The sequence below is a fragment of the Homo sapiens genome, chromosome 4 (assembly GCF_000001405.40).
Source record: "Homo sapiens chromosome 4, GRCh38.p14 Primary Assembly".
NCBI classification, from domain to species: Eukaryota; Metazoa; Chordata; class Mammalia; order Primates; family Hominidae; genus Homo; species Homo sapiens.
In genome coordinates this window covers 38,473,384-38,494,143 of record NC_000004.12, presented here as the reverse complement: position 1 = coordinate 38,494,143, position 20,760 = coordinate 38,473,384, and the positions used below count along the sequence as shown (strand labels likewise).

The window sequence follows — 20,760 nt, the reverse complement described above, 5'->3', positions numbered from 1 at the left end:
TTGAACATAAGGAGAAAAGTCTGATTCATTTGCTTTTCTTCTCAGGGAGAAGAGTCCCTGACTGCAGAACCCCTGAGGTCCTGAAAGTGATTTGTATTAGAACATCCATGCAGTTGACTTTCTGTCAGTCAACCGGATGCTGGATTGATCTGTGAGTGCTAGAACTGCACAAAGATACCACTCCAGCAAGAAAGGGGTCTGGGCTAGAGTGTGACTCCAACACCCTGAAGGACTGGAAACATCATAAATATCCTCCATCTTTGACAGATCTGCTGTTTTATTCCTTAGAGTAAACCAGCAAGGGCTATAGGTAATCACCTTGTTGAAGAAATGGATTTAGGTGCCAGGACTCCTTCAGATCTGGGCGGAGCTGGGGTGGGTTGGGTGGGACATAGGATGTTAAGAATGCTTCAGATTTTGACAGGCTGAGCATGGTCTCTCAATGACAGGGGGCAAGCTTCTCACTCCCTATCAGAGACGAAGGATGTTTCAATTTTAAACTACATAGTTTTTCTTGAGGTCAAAACATTTTGTAAGCATACATCTCTGGAATCACAAATGGAAAAATTTAACTTGTTTTGCAGAAATTGATTTTACAGTTTTTTCAGGAACTTTTTTTTCCTTTTAAAGTAAAATAAGTGTCCTTGTATTATTCTTCTAGCTTTAATGAACCTCTTGTTTTCTGGGATTTTAAAAATTCAGTGAAATTGACCTGGAAAAGATGATCAAGAAGAAAGATAGCAGTCTATGTCTCTGTCTCTGTCTCTGTCTCTCTCTCTCTCTGTGTGTGTGTGTGTGTGTGTGTGTGTGTGTGTAATTGTTTAGGTGTGATGAATGAGCATTGCTGCTATGTAACAGGCAAAATATAGATTTGTGTATCAGATAGGCACAGCTAAAATTCTAACTCCAGCATTATTAAGTAAGTGTTTTGGTGCAAGTTAGATGACCTCAGCTTTCTCTCCTGTAACATGGGTGTAATCTTATCTGTTTAGCACAGTATTTGGTACTAGCACACAGAGGAGGTGCTCAACAAATGGCAACTTTGATTATAATAACAATTATTATTATTATTATTATTATGCTTTTTAACTTAATAGGCTCAGGAAAATGTTTATGAAATTCATAGTCCACGTTCATAGTTTTAGAAGTTCTATAGCTTTTGATTTTTGCTATTTCGCTAGTGAAACTTCATGCCTGTTAACTTCCATTTCAGGACTTCAGACTTTGAAATGTATGTAGATTTTATGCCAAGAGGATTGAAAACCAGAAGCTGAGACTCATGGGTTGTGGATAAGAGGGCTGGCCAATCCATTTTGTGTATCATTCGCAAATCTTAAATTGGTCATTCTTAATGTCTAATAATGCTGCTGATCAAGATAACTTGGAGTCATTACAGTTAACTTATTTGTCAAATAAATGAATAAAAAAGAGTATACATTGCTGGAACTTTCCTTCAGCTCAGTCTCACCACAATTGAGTGAAATTTGGTAGAATGGGACTCAGATAGGAATGTTTTTGGAAAAAGCATCTCAGGTGATTCTCCTGCACACCCAGGTTTGAGATCCACAGCCCCCAAACATTTTAAATTTAAGTTATTTTTAATGAATTGATTGCCACTTCTGAACAGCCAGGACTATAAGTCTTTTATTTGTTATTTAAATTTTTTCTTTCTCTGTTGTCCCTATCAGCTGTCCTGTCTCTGGGAACTGTTTGTCCTCTCTCCTCCTCTCCTGTATTCTAGTTGGAAATGTCTAATGATGTTTATAATATCTAGGGAAGCAGCTAACCAAACTGTTAGAATTGTGGTTCATGATCCTTCTACCCATTTGGCTAGTGGCTTTTGGTTCTCTGAACTTCCTGTTTCAAGGTCGCCAGGTATTAAAATGTCTGTAGTTCTTAGGTCATGGGGACTGAGAACTGGGAGCCCAGAAACATGAATCATGGAGAAGAGAGCAGGCCAGTCCATTTGACACGCAGTGGCTTCACAATTCTTAAATTGTGGAGCTTGATCAGGAACCCCAGGGAGTGCACTAAGTACTGAAAAGCAGAGAAGAAGCCACGGAGAACATGGGAGGCCTGTGTTTTAATGCTACCTCCAACATTAGCTGTGTGACCTTGGACCAGTAGTTTACCTCTCTGGACCTCTGTTTCTTTTCTTGTAAAACTAGTTTAAAAATTATGAAATATTTCCAGCTGAAAAAATCATAGTGAATAATATAACAATTCTATTTGTACCTACCACTCACTCTAATATATCCTATTACTTTTCCATGATTGCTTCTTTATATGTTTGAAGATAATTTTGAAGCCTCTTCTGAACCCCCTCCCTAACTTTATTCTCTTTCCTTCACCCCTGGAAATAATCATTATCCTTTAATCATTTCTGGAGTTTATCATTCCCATGTACATTTTATGTTATATCTATACCTGTTTACAAACAATGTATAGCATCATTTTACTGGTTTTTACACTTGAAATGAGTGTTATGACTATTCACATTGTTCTTCAATTTACCTTTTAAAAATTTCCTATCATGTTTTTGAGGTTAATTCATGTTGATGCATGTGGCTCTGGTTTGTTCTGCATAATGTTCCATTAAATGAATAGACCATTTGATGTAGCCCATTCTTCTGTTGGTGAATCTGAGGTTGTTCAGCATAGAGAAATTTCAAGGTCCCCTCCAGTTTGAACTTTCTAGGATCTGGCATGAAAATATGATTTTTCTGAAGAAGTTTTGTATCAACACCTTTGGCCTTTCCCACTGTCTCCTGTGTCCACTTTTTCAAGGCGCACCTTGTGAGCATGTGGGAGATTACTGGAAGCCAGATCTTTGGCTGCTGGGGTCAACCCTGTGTTTGCTGAGCACAGAGAGGCCATTATCATGCAGTGGATCAAAAAGCACAGACTTTGGAATCAGTCAGACTTTGTTTTGCATCCTAACTTTGCCACCTGTGAGTTGTGTAATCTTGGGCAAACTATGTAACCTCTCGGAACTTGAATTTTCTCAACGGGAAAATTAGGAAAACAATTTCTACTGCATATTGTTGCCATGAGGATTAAAAAAGATAATGTATATAAAAGGATAATGTATATAAAGTACTTGGCAGCATGCATGCTACCTAGTAAGCGCTTGATAAAGTGATAGAACATATAGTGTGTGTGTGTGTTTGTGTGTGTGCATGTGTGAGAGAGAGAAAGGGAGAGAGAGAGAGAGGATAAGAGAATGCCAAGGCTCTGCCAGGACCAGTGGGCATCTTCCCAAGTTGTTTCCCACTTAAGATGCCTAGCATGTAGTTCATACTTAATAAATATCTCATTACAAAAATGAATAAGCAAGTATGTAAATATATAAATGAGACAATTGGAAAAGTGCATTGGCTGGTGGGATCAATGGAAGCTAGTCTATGAAATGACCACTGAGCAGTTTTTCAGTAGTTTCTATTAGTAGGTGGTGACTCAGAAAAGTTGAGAACATTTTTCCTGAAGATCAAATATTCTATTGTACAAATCAGTCACTTCTTTAAATTCCCTAAAACAATCCTGCTGAAGTTTTAGGCAAATGGTGGCCCCAGAAGCAGCCTACAGCTCAGATATGACCCAAACTTTCCTATTTGTCACTGTCAGAGCTCTCTGTCCTAATTATTCCATCCTGTCTGATCAGCGTTCATCCTCTAGACAGCCTGACTTCTTAAGTGAACGTCCACGTTTACACTAGAGCAGCAGGCACTTCCTGCTGGCTCCTTCCAGACAAGGAGCCTCTGTTCGCCTTGGGACTGGGGAGCAAACAGCCTCTGACTGTCCCAGCTGGTAAGCAACAAGCCCTGGTCCTGGGACAGGATATTTCACGTACATATTTTTGAGCAATAGATGGGAACCAAACCAATCGGTTATGAGATTGCCAGCCTTTTAGAAAGCAACACTCAGCAATAGCATTTACAGGCTAATGTTTAAGAAAATAAAACATGTCTATCTACCAGGGATTCCTTTTAAGTGGTAGAGAGTTTGCAAAGGTGTATCATTTCTAAAGGAAGTGCTTTTGACAGGAACTCATGCTGAATGATAGCAGAGTGTTGTTACGGTTGTGTTTTACTTTGGAGGCTGTGTTTATGTCCTGCTTCAAGCCTTTAGAAATACTGTCTATACATCTGAGAAACCAGTTTACTTGACTCCTATTAAAAAAAAGAAGGAAAAGAAAACTCAGGTTTCTGCTTGACTTAGAGGTTAGTAAATTGAGTGTGGCCAGTTTGTGGTCATCGGGTTTGCTTAGCTTAAATGGATTCAAATCCCTGCTTTGAATCCGCTTTGGCCTGTCTTGGGGGTCAGATTGGGGCCTTTTGTTCAGGGCCATCTTGAGTGGCAGGAGGGCCAGGGAGGTGGAGGAATGACAAGTATTATAGGATTGTAGGTTGCTTTTGTCTCACACTCTAAGCTTCCAGAGCCCAACTATTTTCTTCTGCTGAGGGGAAAGCTGGAGAGAGAGAGAGGACAGAGATTGGGAGAGAGAGAGAGAGAGAGAGAGAGAGAGAGATAGAGAGAGAGAGAGAACGCATAAGCAGGAACTAGCTCGGGGGGCAGGGAAGAGAGGAAAGGAGAACAGAGTAGAAGGAGGAGAGGTGGAAGGTAAGGGCGGGAGCAGCCCTAGGCCTGGCCGTCCCTTACTGCCCCCATCCCCCACCCTACTAACCCATCGCATCCTCGCTGACCCAGAGACAGAATATAAATGAAACACTTTGCCGGTGCAGGACACTAACTGGCAGTGGCCTGCTGGAGCTAAGGGCATTTTCTAAGCAACTCACTAATCAGAAGTGACTGAAGCTCTGAAGAGAATACAGCCCAGCCAGGGATCCACCCTCCATGCTAATGAAGAAGGCAGTGAGGTGGATAATTAAGGGCAGTGATGTGAATAATTCCAAACTGATAATTCAAAGGTAATGAAATGCATTAGGAGTTTGGGGGCAGCAGATTTTCCTTACCGGACAGGGCTGTTTTATGATAAAATGAGCTTGCCTTTTCTAAGCACATACCAGCTGACTCTGGGTGGAGCTGGACTGGGAAGGCTGGGGTTGCAGGGAGGAGCTGATGCAGGATTAGGAATTTATGCAGCCATTCAAGACAATGTTTAGGAAGCTTACATAACCACATAGGGGGACACGTGTGTTATGATTTTAAGTGAAAAAATAAAGAAGCATGCTAAGTGAATATTTTGGCTAGCTACTGCAATGTATAAAACAAACAAAACCAATAAACCAAAACTTTATATACGTGGAAGAAAGATCAGAAAGGACCCTATTACAGACTGAATATCCTTATCCAAATGCTTGGATTGGAACTGTTTTGGAGTTTGGATTTTTTCTTTTTTAAATTTTGGAATATTTGCATTATACTTACCCGCTGAGCATCACTGAAAAATCCAAAATCCAAAAAACTCAGAATGAGAATTTCCTTTGAGTGTCACATCAGTGCTTCAAAAGTTTCAGATTTTGGAGCATTTGCATTTTGGGTTTTTGAATTTTGGATGTTTAACCTGTATTAAAAAGTTTAATAGTAGTTATCTGGGTAGTGGAGGCCAGGCTAAGTGGCTCACGCCTGTAATCCTAGAACTTTGAGAGGCTGAGGCAGGCACATTGCCTGAGCTCAGGAGTTCAAGACCAGCCTCAGCAACATGGTGAAATTCCTTCTCTAAAAAAAAAAAAAAAAAAAAAAAGTGGTTATCTGGATAGTGGGACTATAGGTGATTTCTTTTATTCTTCTCTCTACTATTCTAAATTTTCTTATATTAACTTGAACCATTTTCATAATGTAAAAGGTGAGCACACTAAAAAAAGAATTTGCTGTGGCATAATTCTTCCCCAGAATGGACAGCAGAGAACTGACAGATGCTAACTTTTTGACTAGTGTGGGTGGGCTTGCAGTCTAGAGAGGCTACATTTTGCTGCATAAGTTGTTAGAGGTCCCAGAAGCCCTATTCTGGATAGAAATATTTCCTCTATGAGATTCAGACTGTGGTCAGGCATGGTGGCTCATGCCTGTAATCCCAGGGATTTGGGAGGCTGAGGCAGGAGAATCACTTGAGCCCAAGAGTTCGAGACTAGCCTGGGCAACACAGTGAGACACACATCTCTACAAAAAAAAAAAAAATTAAAAATAGCCAGCCATGGTGGTACACTCGTATAGCCCCAGCTACTCCAGAGGCTGAAGCGGGAAAGTCATTTGAGCCTAGGAGTTTGAGGATGCAGTGAGCCATGATCACACCACTGCACTCCAGTCTCGGTGACAGAGTGAGACCCTGTCTCTTAAAAAAAGAAAAGAAATTCAGACTGTCTATGAATCTTCCTGGCTCCGCTTTTCTAAAAGCTTATGAGATGTTTTCAGAGACAGGAGCTTTTTGGCTACTGCGTTTCTGTGTTCTCCTTAGGGTATAACCAATTTCTACCATATTTAGTAGCTTCATGGAACTTCCTTCTAGTCATGTGTCTTTCTCCAGTCTTCTAGTTTTAGAACTAGTTATGAACCATAACACTATCAAAATTAAATGGACTCCTTAGTTTGCTAAATTATGGGGCTGGCCAAGCTGTAGGGTTTATGAGACAATGGGTTTATGGGAAGCGATAACTGATTATTCTCATTCTTACTGATGAGACAAACGTAGGGGACTTGGTAGTGAATTACTTATTTTACAAAGATTTTTACTTAATGGAGGTGATCTACTACCTCAAAATAAAATCCATACTTCCTTCTGCAAATTTTTGAATTTTTAAACATAAAATCTGTTATGGTCTAAATGTTTGTGTCTCCCTCACAAAAATTCATATGTTGAAATCCTAACCCCCCATGTGATGGTATTAGGAGGTGGGGCCTTTTGAACATGATTAGGTCATGAGGATGGACCTTTATATTATAAGGGGCTGAAGAGACCAGAGTTCTTCCTTTCCATCATTTGAGGACACAGTGACAAATTGACCTTCACTGAATCTGGTAGCACCTCGATCTTGGACTTCTCAGCTTCCAGAACTGTGAGAAATGAATTCCTGTTGTTTGTAAGCCTCCTAGTTTATGGCATTTTGTTATAGCAGCCTGAACGGACTAAGAGGACACCCTTAGGAACTCTTTGATACTTAATCTCACAATTTTGCTTTTGGTACTGAATCTGCTGGGTGTTTGTGCTGCTGTTAGCCATGACCTTGTTTAGGGCTGGTTGAGTGTTAAAATATTGTGCATTGCTGGAAAGTTAAGATGACTCTGTCTCACTGAATTGAGTTGACAACAATACTTATTGTGATCTTACAATACCAGCCAGATTCTAAAGTCTTGTCCTAATAGTTTAATATATATATTTGCTCTCATGTGTCTTAGAAAATGAGAACAATGAGCCTCAGCTCAAAAGCTATTAAGACAATTAAGTAAAACAGTATGATTAGTATAGTTCTTGGCAGTTTGTAAGTGACATATTGGACCTGTTAAGCAGGTGCATGCCAGTTATAATGCTCACTCAGACAAAGCCAAAGGATGCCTACCATACCCACAGCCCCTTCTGAGCACTTCCTCATGTGTAGGCCATCATGCCTGTATTCCAAGGCCCTGGCCCTGTTGACTTCTGAGGATTAGACTGAGGGAGGGCATTGGACCTAAGAATATTCATTCTTTAGCTGGTCAATAGCTTATGTAGTTATACCTGTCTCTGCCTCTCTGGAATAATAGTGGCTAGCCCACTCAGTTAGGTCCTCTCTTACAGAGCTGAACTCATGACATACTTGAAGACTCCAGCAGCAGGAGCAATACTGATCCTATCGTATTACAGGAGCAATACGATAGCTCTCCTTTGCCTCACTCCTTTTCCTCTCTCTCTCCCCTTTCTTCTGGAAACAGACCCCAACCTTCTAGCCATAGCTACCTAAGCTGGGTCAGAGTACTTCCCTCGGATTTTTCTGATTGAGTTCTGTTTCTTCTCTGGTCAGGAGGTCCTGTGCAGCCAGGCTTCCTATGCACATGCCTGCAAGGGCCAGGTGGGTAACTTCGGTGGGAAGTGACCAGGTGCAAAAATAATGGGGCTGGGGGCCGGGTGTGGTGGCTCACGCCTGTAATCCCAGCACTTTGGGAGGCCGAGGCAGGTGGATCACGAGGTCAGGAGATCGAGACCATCCTGGCTAACACGGTGAAACCCCGTCTCTACTAAAAATGCAAAAAAAATTAGCCAGGCATGGTGGCGGGCGCCTGTAGTCCCAGCTACTCGGGAGGCTGTGGCAGGAAAATGGCGTGAACCCGGGAGGCGGAGCTTGCAGTGAGCCGAGATCGCGCCACTGCACTCCAGCCTGGGCGACAGAGCGAGACTCCGTCTCAAAAAAATAAATAAGTGAAATAATAATAATAACAATAATAATGGGGCTGGGAGGGCCCAGGGCCAAGCACAAGACATGTCTGCCAAAGGCAACCAAATTAAAGGAGAATGTATACCTATCTTGGCCAATAAAATAAGTGAGGTTTTAATGTAGTCCCCACTGCCCCAGATAATGTCAACCCAGAAGCCTAGGGTGAGATCTACTCACCTTAAAGATGGACTTTCTCCAGGAAGAGAGACCATGGCTACAAGCACTTTATGGAAGGTGGCTTTTTATTTGGTGACTGTCTGTCTAAACAATATCAAAGATGGAAACCCTAAAGAAGATGGGTCTATGTGTCTGAATAAGTAAAACTTCCGTAAGTTAAAAAATAATTGTAGGCCAGGCGCGGTGGCTCACACCTGTAATCCCAGCACTTTGGGAGGCCGAGGCGGGTGGATCATGAGGTCAGGAGATCGAGACCATCCTGTCTAACAAGGTGAAACCCCGTCTGTACTAAAAATACAAAAAAATTAGCCAGGCGTGGTGGCGGGCGCCTGTAGTCCCAGCTACTCGGGAGGCTGAGGCAGGAGAATGGCGTGAACCCGGGAAGCGGAGCTTGCAGTGAGCCGAGATTGAGCCACTGCAGTCCGCAGTCCGGCCTGGGCGACAGAGCGAGACTCCGTCTCAAAAAAAAAAAAAAAAAAAAATTGTAAATATAAATATATGTATATATTAATATACCATATAATAAATAATATACAATATATAAATAAATAAATATAAGTATAATAACTAAATTATAAGGCAAATGATAAGCTTTAAAAAGTACTTACATTGGTCTACATGTCTGTTTTTGTATCAGTACCGTGCTGTTTTGGTTACAGTAGCTTGCAGTACAGTTTGAAGTTGGGCAGTGTGATTCCCCCAGCTTGGTTCTTTTTGCTTAGGATTGCCTTGGCTGTTTGGGCGCTTTTTTGGTTCCATATGAATTTGTAAATAGTTTTTTCTCATTCTGTGAGAGCCCAGAAATAAAGAGACACACCTACAACAATCTGATCTTTGACAAAACTGACGAAAACAAGCATGGGGAAAGGACTCTCTATTCAGTAAATGGTGCTGGGATAACTGGCTGGCCATATGCAGAAGATTGAAGCTGGACCTCATCCTTTCACAGTGTACAAAAATCAACTCAAGATGGATTAAAGACCTAAATGTAAAACCTAAGACTATAAAAACCTGGAAGATAACCTAGGAAATACCATTTTGGACATAGAAACTGGCAAAGATTTCATGATGAAAATGCCAAAAGCAATTGCAACAAAAGAAAAAATTGACAAATTAAACTAAAGTGCTTCTGCACAGCAAGAGTAACTTTCAACAGAGTAAAAAAGGCAACCTACAGAATGGGAGAAGATATTTGTAAAATATACATCTGATGAAGGTCTAATATCCAGAATCTACAAGGAACTTAAACGTAAAGCAAAAACCAAACAACCCCATTAAAAAATGGGCAAAGGACACAAACAGACACTTTTCAAAAGAAGACATACATGCGGCCAACAAACGTATGAAAAATGCTCAATATCACTAATCATTACAGAAATGCAAATAAAAACCGCAGTGAGATACCATCTCACAGCAGTCAGAATGGCTATTGTTAAAAAAGTCAAAAAATAACAGATGCTGGTGAGGTTGCAGAGAAAAGGGAATGCTTATTCACTGCTAATGGGAGTGTAAATTAGTTCAACCATTGTGGAAAACAGTGTGGTGATTCCTCAAAGAACTAAAACCAGAACTACCATTTGACCCAGCAATCCCACTACTGCATATATATCCAAAACAATAGAAATGATTCTACCATAAAGACACATGCATGCATATATTCACTGCAGCACTATTTACAGTAGCATAAACATGGAATTAACCTAAATGCCCTACAACAGTAGACTGAATAAAGAAAATGTGGTGCATATATACCATGGAATACTATGCAGCCATAAAAAAGAATAAGATCATGTCCTCTGCAGGAACCTGGATGGAACTGGAGGCCATTATCCTTAGTAAACTAATGCAGGAACAGAAAACCAAATACCACATGTTCTCACTTATAAGTGGAAGCTAAATGATGAGAACACATGAACAGAAAGAGGGGAATAACAGACACTGGGTCCTCCTTGAGGGTGGGAGGTGGGAGGAGGGAGAGGTTTAGATAAAACAAACAACAAAACAAAAAAAACCCTGTTGGGTACTATGCTTAGTAACCAGATGATAAATTAGTTTATACAGCAAACCCCTGAGTCATGAGTTTACCTGTATAACGAAACTAAGTATGTACCCCTGAACCTAAAATAAAAGTTACAATTTTTTTAACAATTACTTAACAATAGATATTTTTGATGCTGCTCACTATAGCTGATACTAACACTATGTCTCATTTATTTATTTTCTTTCTGCAGTTACTTTATTCAGGTAGACAGATCCAAACAACCTTTTCCATGAGGCGACAGGGTACCAATTAACCCATGGGTCTTATGTACTACTCCATCTGAGCAACCAACCCCCTAAATCAGTCTGTTTTAGACTGCTGATTTAGACTGATTTAAGACTGCTGGGGGAGGTTAAGTGCTTGGTTTTTGAACTTTTTCTTATTTCTATGATATGTTATTGTCAAACTGGACTCTCAGGTAATGTATAGTGAGGGGAACTTTGAAACATAAATTTGTTTTCTATTGTTTGTGATTCTTGGGGCACAACAACAAAACTCCACTGCCTGGTGGGGAAGGATGACCTCATCTCCTGTGTGTCCCTGGCTCCCAGTCACACCATTGGAAGGATGATTATACCTCCTTGCACAAATGAATGATTCTCTACAAATATGTAGTTTAAATGAACTCAGTTCAAAGAAACTGCCCACATTTCCTGTTGTTGATACTATCTTCTAACCTGTGAATTAATTAAAACACCTGGGTTTTAAACTGGCGACATCATTCCCCAGCTATAATTTCCTTTATGACCCAGGAAGTCCCTAAGGTATAGATCTACTTCATAGAATTAAAAATCCTTGTGAATATTGAATAGTACAAGCATGTTGCTCTACTTAAAAAATGTGCTAGACTTTGCAACTTCATCTACATCACAGAACTTGGTCAGCTTTGGGAAATAAGCTATAATTGGAAGACAGAAACACTGTTTTTCTGGTTTTTTTTTAAATATGTTATCTTGTGGATGTATCATGTTTATTTACCCTTTCTCCCACTGTTTTTTTTTATTATATATATATATATTTTGTATTATACTTTAAGTTCTAGGGTACATGTGCACAGCGTGCGGGTTTGTTACATATGTATACATGTGCCATGTTGTTGTGCTGTACCCATTAACTCGTCATTTACATTAGGTATATCTCCTAATGCTATCCCTTCCCCCTCCCCCAACCCCACAACAGGCCCCGGTGTGTGATGTTCCCCGGTGTTTGGTTTTTCGTCCTTGCAATAGTTTGCTGAGAATGATGCTTTCCAGCTTCATCCATGTCCGTACAAAGGACATGAACTCATCCTTTCTTATGGCTGCATGGTATTCCATGGTGTATATGTGCCACATTTTCTTAATCCAGTCTATCATTGTTGGATATTTGGGTTGGTTCCAAGTCTTTGCTATTGTGAGTAGTGCCGCAGTAAACATACGTGTGCATGTGTTTTTATAGCAGCATGATTTATATTCCTTTGGGTATATACCCAGTAATGGGATGGCTGGCTCAAATGGTATTTCTAGTTCTAGATCCCTGAGGAATCGCCACACTGACTTCCACAATGCTTGAACTAGTTTACAGTCCCACCAACAGTGTAAAAGTGTTCCTATTTCTCCACATCCTCTCCAGCACCTGTTGTTTCCTGACTTTTTAATGATCGCCATTCTAACTGGTGTGAGATGGTATCTCACTGTGGTTTTGATTTGCATTTCTCTGATGGCCAGAGATGATGAGCACTTTTTCATGTGTCTGTTGGCTGCATAAATGTCTTCTTTTGAGAAGTGTCTGTTCATATCCTTCACCCACTTTTTGATGGGGTTGTTTGTTTTTTTCTTGTAAATTTGTTTGAGTTCATTGTAGATTCTGGATATTAGCCCTTTGTCAGATGAGTAGATTGCAAACAGTTTCTCCCATTCTGTAGGTTGCCTGTTCATTCTGATGGTAGTTTCTTTGCTGTGCAGAAGCTCTTTAGTTTAATGAGATCCCATTTGTCAATTTTGTCTTTTGTTGCCATTGCTTTTGGTGTTTTAGACATGAAGTCCTTGCCCATGCCTATGTCCTGAATGGTATTGCCTAGGTTTTCTTCTAGGGTTTTTATGGTTTTAGGTCTCACATTTAAGTCTTTAAGTCTTTAATCCATCTTGAATTAATTTTTGTATAAGGTATAAGGAAGGGATCCAGTTTCAGCTTTCTACATATGGCTAGCCAGTTTTCCCAGCACCATTTATTAAGTAGGGAATCCTTTCCGCATTTCTTGTTTTTGTCAGGTTTGTCAAAGATCAGATAGTTGTAGATATGTGGCATTATGTCTGAGGGCTCTGCTCTGTTCCATTGGTCTATATCTCTGTTTTGGTACCAGTACCATGCTGTTTTGGTTACTGTAGCCTTGTAGTATAGTTTGAAGTCAGGTAGTGTGATGCCTCCAGCTTTGTTCTTTTGGCTTAGGACTGACTTGGCAATGTGGGCTCTTTTTTGGTTCCATATGAACTTTAAAGTAGTTTTTTCCAATTCTGTGAAGAAAGTCATTGATAGCTTGATGGGGATGGCATTGAATCTATAAATTACCTTGGGCAGTATGGCCATTTTCATGATATTGATTCTTCCTATCCATGAGCATGGAATGTTCTTCCATTTGTTTGTGTCCTCTTTTATTTCATTGAGCAGTGGTTTGTAGTTCTCCTTGAAGAGGTCCTTCACATCCCTTGTAAGTTGGATTCCTAGGTATTTTATTCTCTTTGAAGCAATTGTGAATGGGAGTTCATTCATGATTTGGCTGTTTGTCTATTATTGGTGTATAAGAATGCTTGTGGTTTTTGCACATTGATTTTGTATCCTGAGACTTTGCTGAAGTTGCTTATCAGCTTAAGGAGATTTTGGGCTGAGATGATGGGGTTTTCTAGATATACAATCATGTCATCTGCAAACAGGGACAATTTGACTTCCTCTTTTCCTAATCGAATATCCTTTATTTCTTTCTCTTGCCTGACTGCCCTGGCCAGAACTTCCAACATTATGTTGAATGGGAGTGGTGAGAGAGGGCATCCCTGTCTTGTGCCAGTTTTCAAAGGGAATGCTTCCAGTTTTTGCCCATTCAGTATGATATTGGCTGTGGGTTTGTCATAAATAGCTCTTATTATTTTGAGATACATCCCATCAATGCCTAATTTATTCAGAGTTTTTAGCATGAAGGGCTGTTGAATTTTGTTGAAGGCCTTTTCTGCATCTATTGAGATAATCATGTGGTTTATATGCTGGATTACGTTTATTGATTTGCGTATGTTGAACCAGCCTTGCATCCCAGGGATGAAGCCCACTTGATCATGGTGGAGAAGCTTTTTGATGTGCTGCTGGATTCAGTTTGCCAGTATTTTATTGAGGATTTTTGCATTGATGTTCATCAGGGATATTGGTCTAAAATTCTCTTTTTTTGTTGTGTCTCTGCCAGGCTTTGGTGTCAGGATGATGCTGACTTCATAAAATAAGTTAGGGAGGATTCCTTCTTTTTCTGTTGTTTGGAATAGTTTCAGAAGGAATGGTACCAGCTCCTCCTTGTACCTCTGGTAGAATTCAGCTGTGAATCCATCTGGTCCTGGATTTTTTTTGGTTGGTAAGCCATTAATTATTGCCTCAATTTCAGAGCCTGTTATTGGTCTATTCAGAGATTCAACTTCTTCCTGGTTTAGTCTTGGGAGGGTGTATGTGTCCAGGAATTTATCCATTTCTTCTAGATTTTCTAGTTTATTTGCGTAGAGGTGTTTATAGTATTCTCTGATGGCAGTTTGTATGTCTGTGGGATCGGTGGTGATATCCCCTTTATCGTTTTTTATTGCTTCTATTTGATTCTTCTCTCTTTTCTTCTTTATTAGCCTTGCTAGTGGTCTATCAATTTTGTTGATCTTTTCAAAAAACCAGCTCCTGGATTCACTGATTTTTTGAAGGGTTTTTTGTGCCTCTATTTCCTTCAGTTCTGCTCTGATCTTAGTTATTTCTTGCCTTCTGCTAGCTTTTGAATGTGTTTGCTCTTACTTCTCTAGTTCTTTTAATTGTGATGTTAGAGTGTCAGTTTTAGATCTTTCCTGCTTTCTCTTGTGGGCATTTAGTGCTATAAATTTCCCTCTACACACTGCTTTGAATGTTTCCCAGAGATTCTGGTATGTTGTGTCTTTGTTCCCGTTGGTTTCAAAGAACATCTTTATTTCTGCCTTCATTTCGTTGTGTACCCAGTAGTCATTCAGGAGCAGGTTGTTCAGTTTCCATGTAGTTGAGTGGTTTTGAGTGAGTTTCTTAATCCTGAGTTCTAGTTTGATTGCACTGTGGTCTGAGAGACAGTTTGTTATAATTTCTGTTCTTTATATTTGCTGAGGAGTGCTTTACTTCCAACTATGTGGTCAATTTTGGAATAGGTGTGGTGCTGAGAAGAATGTATATTCTGTTGATTTGAGGTGGAGAGTTCTGTAGATGCCTATTAGGTCCGCTTGGTGCAGAGCTGAGTTCAATTCCTGGATATCCTTGTTAACTTTCTGTCTCATTGATCTGTCTAATGTTGACAGTGGGGTTTTAAAGTCTCCCATTATTATTGTGTGGGAGTCTAAGTCTCTTTGTAGGTCTCTAAGGACTTGCTTTATGAATCTGGGTGCTCCTGTATTGGGTGCATATATATTTAGGATAGTTAGCTCTTCTTGTTGAATTAATCCCTTTACCATTATGCAGTGGCCTTGTCTCTTTTGATCTTTGTTGGTTTAAAGTCTGTTTTATCAGAGACTAGGATTGCAACCCCTGCCTTTTTTTGTTTTCCATTTGCTTGGTAGATCTTACTCCATCCCTTTATTTTGAGCCTATGTGTGTCTCTGCACGTGAGATGGGTTTCCTGAATACAGCACACTGATGGCTCTTGACTCTTTATCCAATTTGCCAGTCTGTGTCTTTTAATTGGAGCATTTAGCCCATTTACATTTAAGGTTAATATTGTCATGTGTGAATTTGATCCTGGCATTATGATGTTAGCTGGTTATTTTGCTCGTTAGTTGATGCAGTTTCTTCCTAGCCTCGATGGTCTTTACAATTTGGCATGTTTTTGCAGTGGCTGGTACTGGTGTTCCTTCCCATGTTTAGTGCTTCCTTCAGGAGCTCTTTTAGGGCAGGCCTAGTGGTGGCAAAATCTCTCAGCATTTGCTTGTCTGTAAAGGATTTTATTTCTCCTTCACTTGTGAAGCTTAGTTTGGCTGGATATGAAATTCTGGGTTGAAAATTCTTTTCTTTCAGAATGTTGAATATTGGCCCCCACTCTCTTCTGGCTTGTAGATTTTCTGCAGAGAGATCAGCTGTTAGTCTGATGGGCTTCCCTTTTGGGTAACCCGACCTTTCTCTTTGGCTTCCCTTAACACTTTTTCCTTCATTTCAACTTTGGTGAATCTGACAGTTATGTGTCTTGGAGTTGCTCTTCTCGAGGAGTATCTTTGTGGTGTTCTCTGTGTTTCCTGAATCTGAATGTTGGCCTGCCTTGCTAGATTGGGGAAGTTCTCCTGGATAATATCCTGCAGAGTGTTTTCCAACTTGGTTCCATTCTCCCCGTCACTTTCAGGTACACCAATCAGATGCAGATTTGGTCTTTTCACATAGTCCCATATTTCTTGGAGGCTTTGTTTGTTTCTTTTTATTCTTTTTTCTGTAAACTTCCCTTCTCACTTCATTTCATTCATTTCATCTTCCATCACTGATACCCTTTCTTCCAGTTGATTGCATTGGCTCCTGAGGCTTCTGCATTCTTCACGTAGTTCTTGAGCCTTGGCTTTCAGCTCCATTGGCTCCTTTAAGCACTTCTCTGTATTGGTTATTCTAGTTATATATTCGTCTAAATTTTTTTCAAAGTTTTCAACTTCTTTGCCTTTGGTTTGAATTTTCTCCTGTACTCAGAGTAGTTTGATTATCTGAAGCCCTCTTCTCTCAACTCGTCAAAGTCATTCTCTGTCCAGCTTTGTTCCGTTGCTGGTGAGGAGCTGTGTTCCTTTGGAGGAGGAGAGGTGCTGATTTTTAGAATTTTCAGTTTTTCTGTTCTGTTTTTTCCCCATCTTTGTGGTTTTACCTACCTTTGGTCTTTGATGATGGTGACGTACAGATGGGGTTTTGGTGTGGATGTCCTTTCTGTTTGTTAGTTCCTTCTAACGGTCAGGACCCTCAGCAGCAGGTCTGTTGGAGTTTGCTGGAGGTCCACTCCAGACCCTGTTTGCCTGGGTATCAGCAGCGGAGGCTGCAGAACAGCGAATATTGCTGAACAGCAAATGTTGCTGTCTGATTGTTCCTCTGGAGATTTCGTCTCAGAGGGGTACCTGGCCGTGCGAGATGTCAGTCTGCCCCTAGTGGGGGGTGCCTCCCAGATAGGCTACTCGGGGGTCAGGGACCCACTTGAGGGGGCAGTCTGTCCATTCTCAGATCTCAAACTCTGTGCTGGGAGAACCATTACTCTCTTCAAAGCTGTCAGACAGGGACATTTAAGTCTGCAGAGGTTTCTGCTGCCTTTTGTTGGGCTATGCCCTGCCCCCAGAGGTGGAGTCTACAGAGGCAGGCAGGCCTCCTTGAGCTGTGGTGGGCTCCACCCAGTTCGAGCTTCCTGGCTGCTTTGTTTACCTACTCAAGCCTCAGCAATGGTGGGCTCCCCTCCCCCAGCCCGGCTGCTGCCTTGCAGTTCTATCTCAGACTGCTGTGCTAGCAATGAGCGAGGCTCCGTGGGCGTGGGACCCTCTGAGCCAGGCACGGGACATAATCTCCTGGTGTGCTGTTTGCTAAGACCATTGGAAAATCACAGTATTAGGGTGGGAGAGACCCGATTTTCCAGCTGCCATCTGTCACAGCTTTGCTTGGCTATGAAAGGGATTTCCCTGACCACTTGTGCTTCCCGGGTGAGGCGATGCCTCGCCCTGCTTTGGCTCACGCTTGGTGTGCTGCACCCACTGTCCTGCACCCACTGTCTGACAAGCTCCAACGAGATGAACCCGGTACCTCAGTTGGAAATGCAGAAATCACCCATCTTATGCGTCGCTCACACTGGGAGCTGTAGACTGGAGCTGTTCCTATTTGGCCATCTTAGAAACACTGTTTTAAGGAAAGCAGAATATATATACAAGAGAAATTCTCATTGATGGGAACTATTTGTTGAGATATTCTTGTAAAATGATTTTTTAAAAGACACAAAGCAAAAAAAAAACTAGAGAGCAAGCAGGGGAAATCATCACTTTTGTGGGTAGATAAGATAGGGTTAATTCATGGTAGAACCCTTAGGCTGCACCCGTTTAGTTTTAGGGCCCTTAAGGCCAATGTCCAGGAAGATCTCTGGAAGGGGGAAAGGAAACAAATCATAAAGCTGAAAAACAAAAAGGCCCATCATTCTGGTTATTTTGTATAATAAAGCACCTGAAAACATAGTGGTATAATACAGCATTCAGTATTCTCCCATGATTCTGAAGATTGACATGGCTGGAAGACCTGAGGGCTGGTGGATCATCACTCTTCATAGTGGCCTCTCCACATGGCTAGCTTGGGCTTTCTTACAGCATGGAGATCTCAGGGTGGTCTGATTTTTTACATGCTGGCTGGCCTCTGCCAGAGCAAGTGTTCTAAGAAGCCAAGGTGGAAGTTGCCGGTCCTGTTAAAGGTGAAGACCAAACCTTGCATAGTATTACTTCTGCCATTCTGTGTTGGTCACAGGCCAGCCATGATTCAAGAGCAGATGAAATTAACCATACCTCTTGATGAGAAGTGTCAAAGAGTTTGTTGCCATCTTGAATTCACCACTGTCATCAAAGAGATCTTGAAGGGCAGGAGAAGAACCAAATTAAAGCCCAAAGGAGCTATGTGGAAGGATGGCTTTTCTTTTCCATTGTGCTCAACTTTATGGTATGTGGTTTTTGCTTCAGTAATTGGACAGAGATATAAGAAATTTGGAGAAGTTTCAGAGAGAAAAGGACCCCACAGAGATGATCAAAAAATGTTGGGAAGTAGGATCTGTACAGAGGGATTAAAAGAAGTAGGATCAATTTGGCCTGAAGCAGGGAAGGCTGAGGGGCAGCCAAATAATCATCTTCGAATACATGAGGGTTGCTATGAAATTGATGCATGACCGGAGAAAGCTGAGCTTAAAGGAACTGGGCTGGAAACACTGAAGAATTTCCTAATCAAGATATGGGCATCTCTGAGATGTGAAAGAAATTCCCTTTTCTGAAGCCATTTCAAAGAGGATACATGTTATGTGCCTATGAAGGATTTAGGATTAGCTTTACTGGAGATGGAAATGGTGGAACAGATCATCTCTTTTTTTTTTTTTTTTGGTAGCTGAATTAGTTTTTCAAGTGAAACCTTATATAGAACTCATGAAAAGTGATGTTGTTTGGTTGAGGTGAGGGCACGGCTGAAGCCACATTTCTTCTCTTTTCCATTCCTTATCTTCCCAAGTGGCTCCAAAGTCACTGTAGGAGCCACAGAGACCCTGCTAAAAATAGTTTGAAAATCATTAAAACCAAGAGTGAGTTTCCTAACTGTTTTGTACAACAGCTGTGGGTGCTTGGAGGTTTTTACCAAATTACGTCTAGGCCTTGAAAATTTTGTAAAATTGCTGAATTCTTTTCATGGATCAAATTGATGAGATTAGGTTATTTCTGAACTTAGGTTCTATTTTCTTGTGTATTGTCAAATAGCAGTCTTATATTCGTTAGTAGTACATTTGTTACTAAGTCTATCCAAGTATAGGAAAAGCAATGATTAACATTTATTTATCTTTTCGTAAATTCATTTATCTAATTTACTATTCAATAGTAAATGATGAATAGTAAACTATTCATCTAATTTACTAAACTTCATTCAAGTAAATTTACTAAACTTGAATAAAGTTTAGTAAATTAGATTAATTTACTGAATTTACTAAATTGAAGTAATTTACTAAACTTGAATGAAGTTTAGTAAATTAGATGAATAATTTACTATTCATCACTTACTAATAAATAGTAAATTAGATAAATGAATTTACCAAAAGATAAACAAATGTTAATCATTGCTTTTCTTATACTTGGGTATACTTAGTAACAAATGAATATAAGAATCCTATTTGACAGTACACAAGAAAATAGAACCTGAGTTCAGAAATAACCTAATCTCATCAGTTTGAATTTAATAAACTTTTTTCAACTTTAGTAAGTTTACTTGAGTGAAGTTTAGTAAATTAGATGAATAGTTTTACTTCATTAGTGGTTTAATTTCATTAATGGTCAATGAAATTAGCAGTTTGCTTTATTAACCCTTAAATTAAATCTCTGTAAAAAAGTGAAAAGCTTATTATAACCTCCAAGGCTATCACCCTGATGTTCTTATCTGGATAGCTTCATGAATAATTCATTTACTTTGGAGTATTCTAGCACCACTTTAATACGCACACATATTATTACAACTCAAAACATGTAAATATACAAAGATTTCATGGTTGACACAACTCGTGGTTTCAAGATGTTGAATTGAGTGCCTGCTGTATCTCTCCTCTTTTCATACCAAGGCCATATAATTGGGAGAAAATATATTTTAAAAAGATACACAACTGCATTGAAAATCAGATACAGTCAGATTGGATTAAAAAACATAAAGATATGGCTGAGCACGGTGGCTCATACCTATAATCCCAGCACTTTGGGAGGCCGAGTGGGGAGGATCACTTGAGGTCAGAAGTTCAAGATGAGTCTGGCCAACATGGTGAAACCTTGTCCCTACCAAAAATACACCTGTCCCTACCAAAAATACAAAAATGGTGGTGCACACCTGTAGTCCCAGCTACTCAGGAGGCTGAGACAGGAAAATTGCTTGAATCTGGGAGGCAGTGGTTGCAGTGAGCCGAGATTGTGCTATTGCACTCCAGCCTGGGCAGCAGAGTGAGACTCCATCTCAAAAAAACAAAACAAAACAAAAACAAACAAAAAAGATAAGATAAAACTGAAAAAAACATAATAGCCCATCAGTTGGTGGTTGGCTAAATAAGCTGTTGAATATTAACACTTCGAAATACTTTGTAACAGTTACAAAAAACAAAGTTGATCTATATACTAATATAACTACCTCTCTAAAATGCATTGTTGACTGAAGAAGCAACTTAACAACAATATAAAACCACTTACATTAACACACATACAAACAATGCTATGTATTTTCCTTGGATACAGA

General features: G+C 40.2%; 1 long non-coding RNA gene across 1 annotated transcript in view, besides 1 other annotated feature; it reads left to right on the top strand.

The window, feature by feature from the left end:
- LINC01258 (long intergenic non-protein coding RNA 1258) overlaps nucleotides 1-20,760 on the top strand; it is a 102,519-nt gene that overhangs the window by 29,037 nt on the left and 52,722 nt on the right. Inside the window, exon 2 of the long non-coding RNA NR_110951.1 lies at nucleotides 46-151. This is a non-coding gene — a long non-coding RNA (long intergenic non-protein coding RNA 1258). The remainder of the gene's footprint in view (nucleotides 1-45; nucleotides 152-20,760) is intronic.
- Nucleotides 16,809-17,308: an enhancer, noted in NCBI's record as "H3K4me1 hESC enhancer chr4:38478457-38478956 (GRCh37/hg19 assembly coordinates)". NCBI's record gives its function as "activates a minimal SCP1, AML or CMV promoter by ChIP-STARR-seq in naive and primed H9 embryonic stem cells {active_cell/tissue: H9 hESC(naive and primed)}" and the evidence as "EXISTENCE:reporter gene assay evidence [ECO:0000049][PMID:30033119]".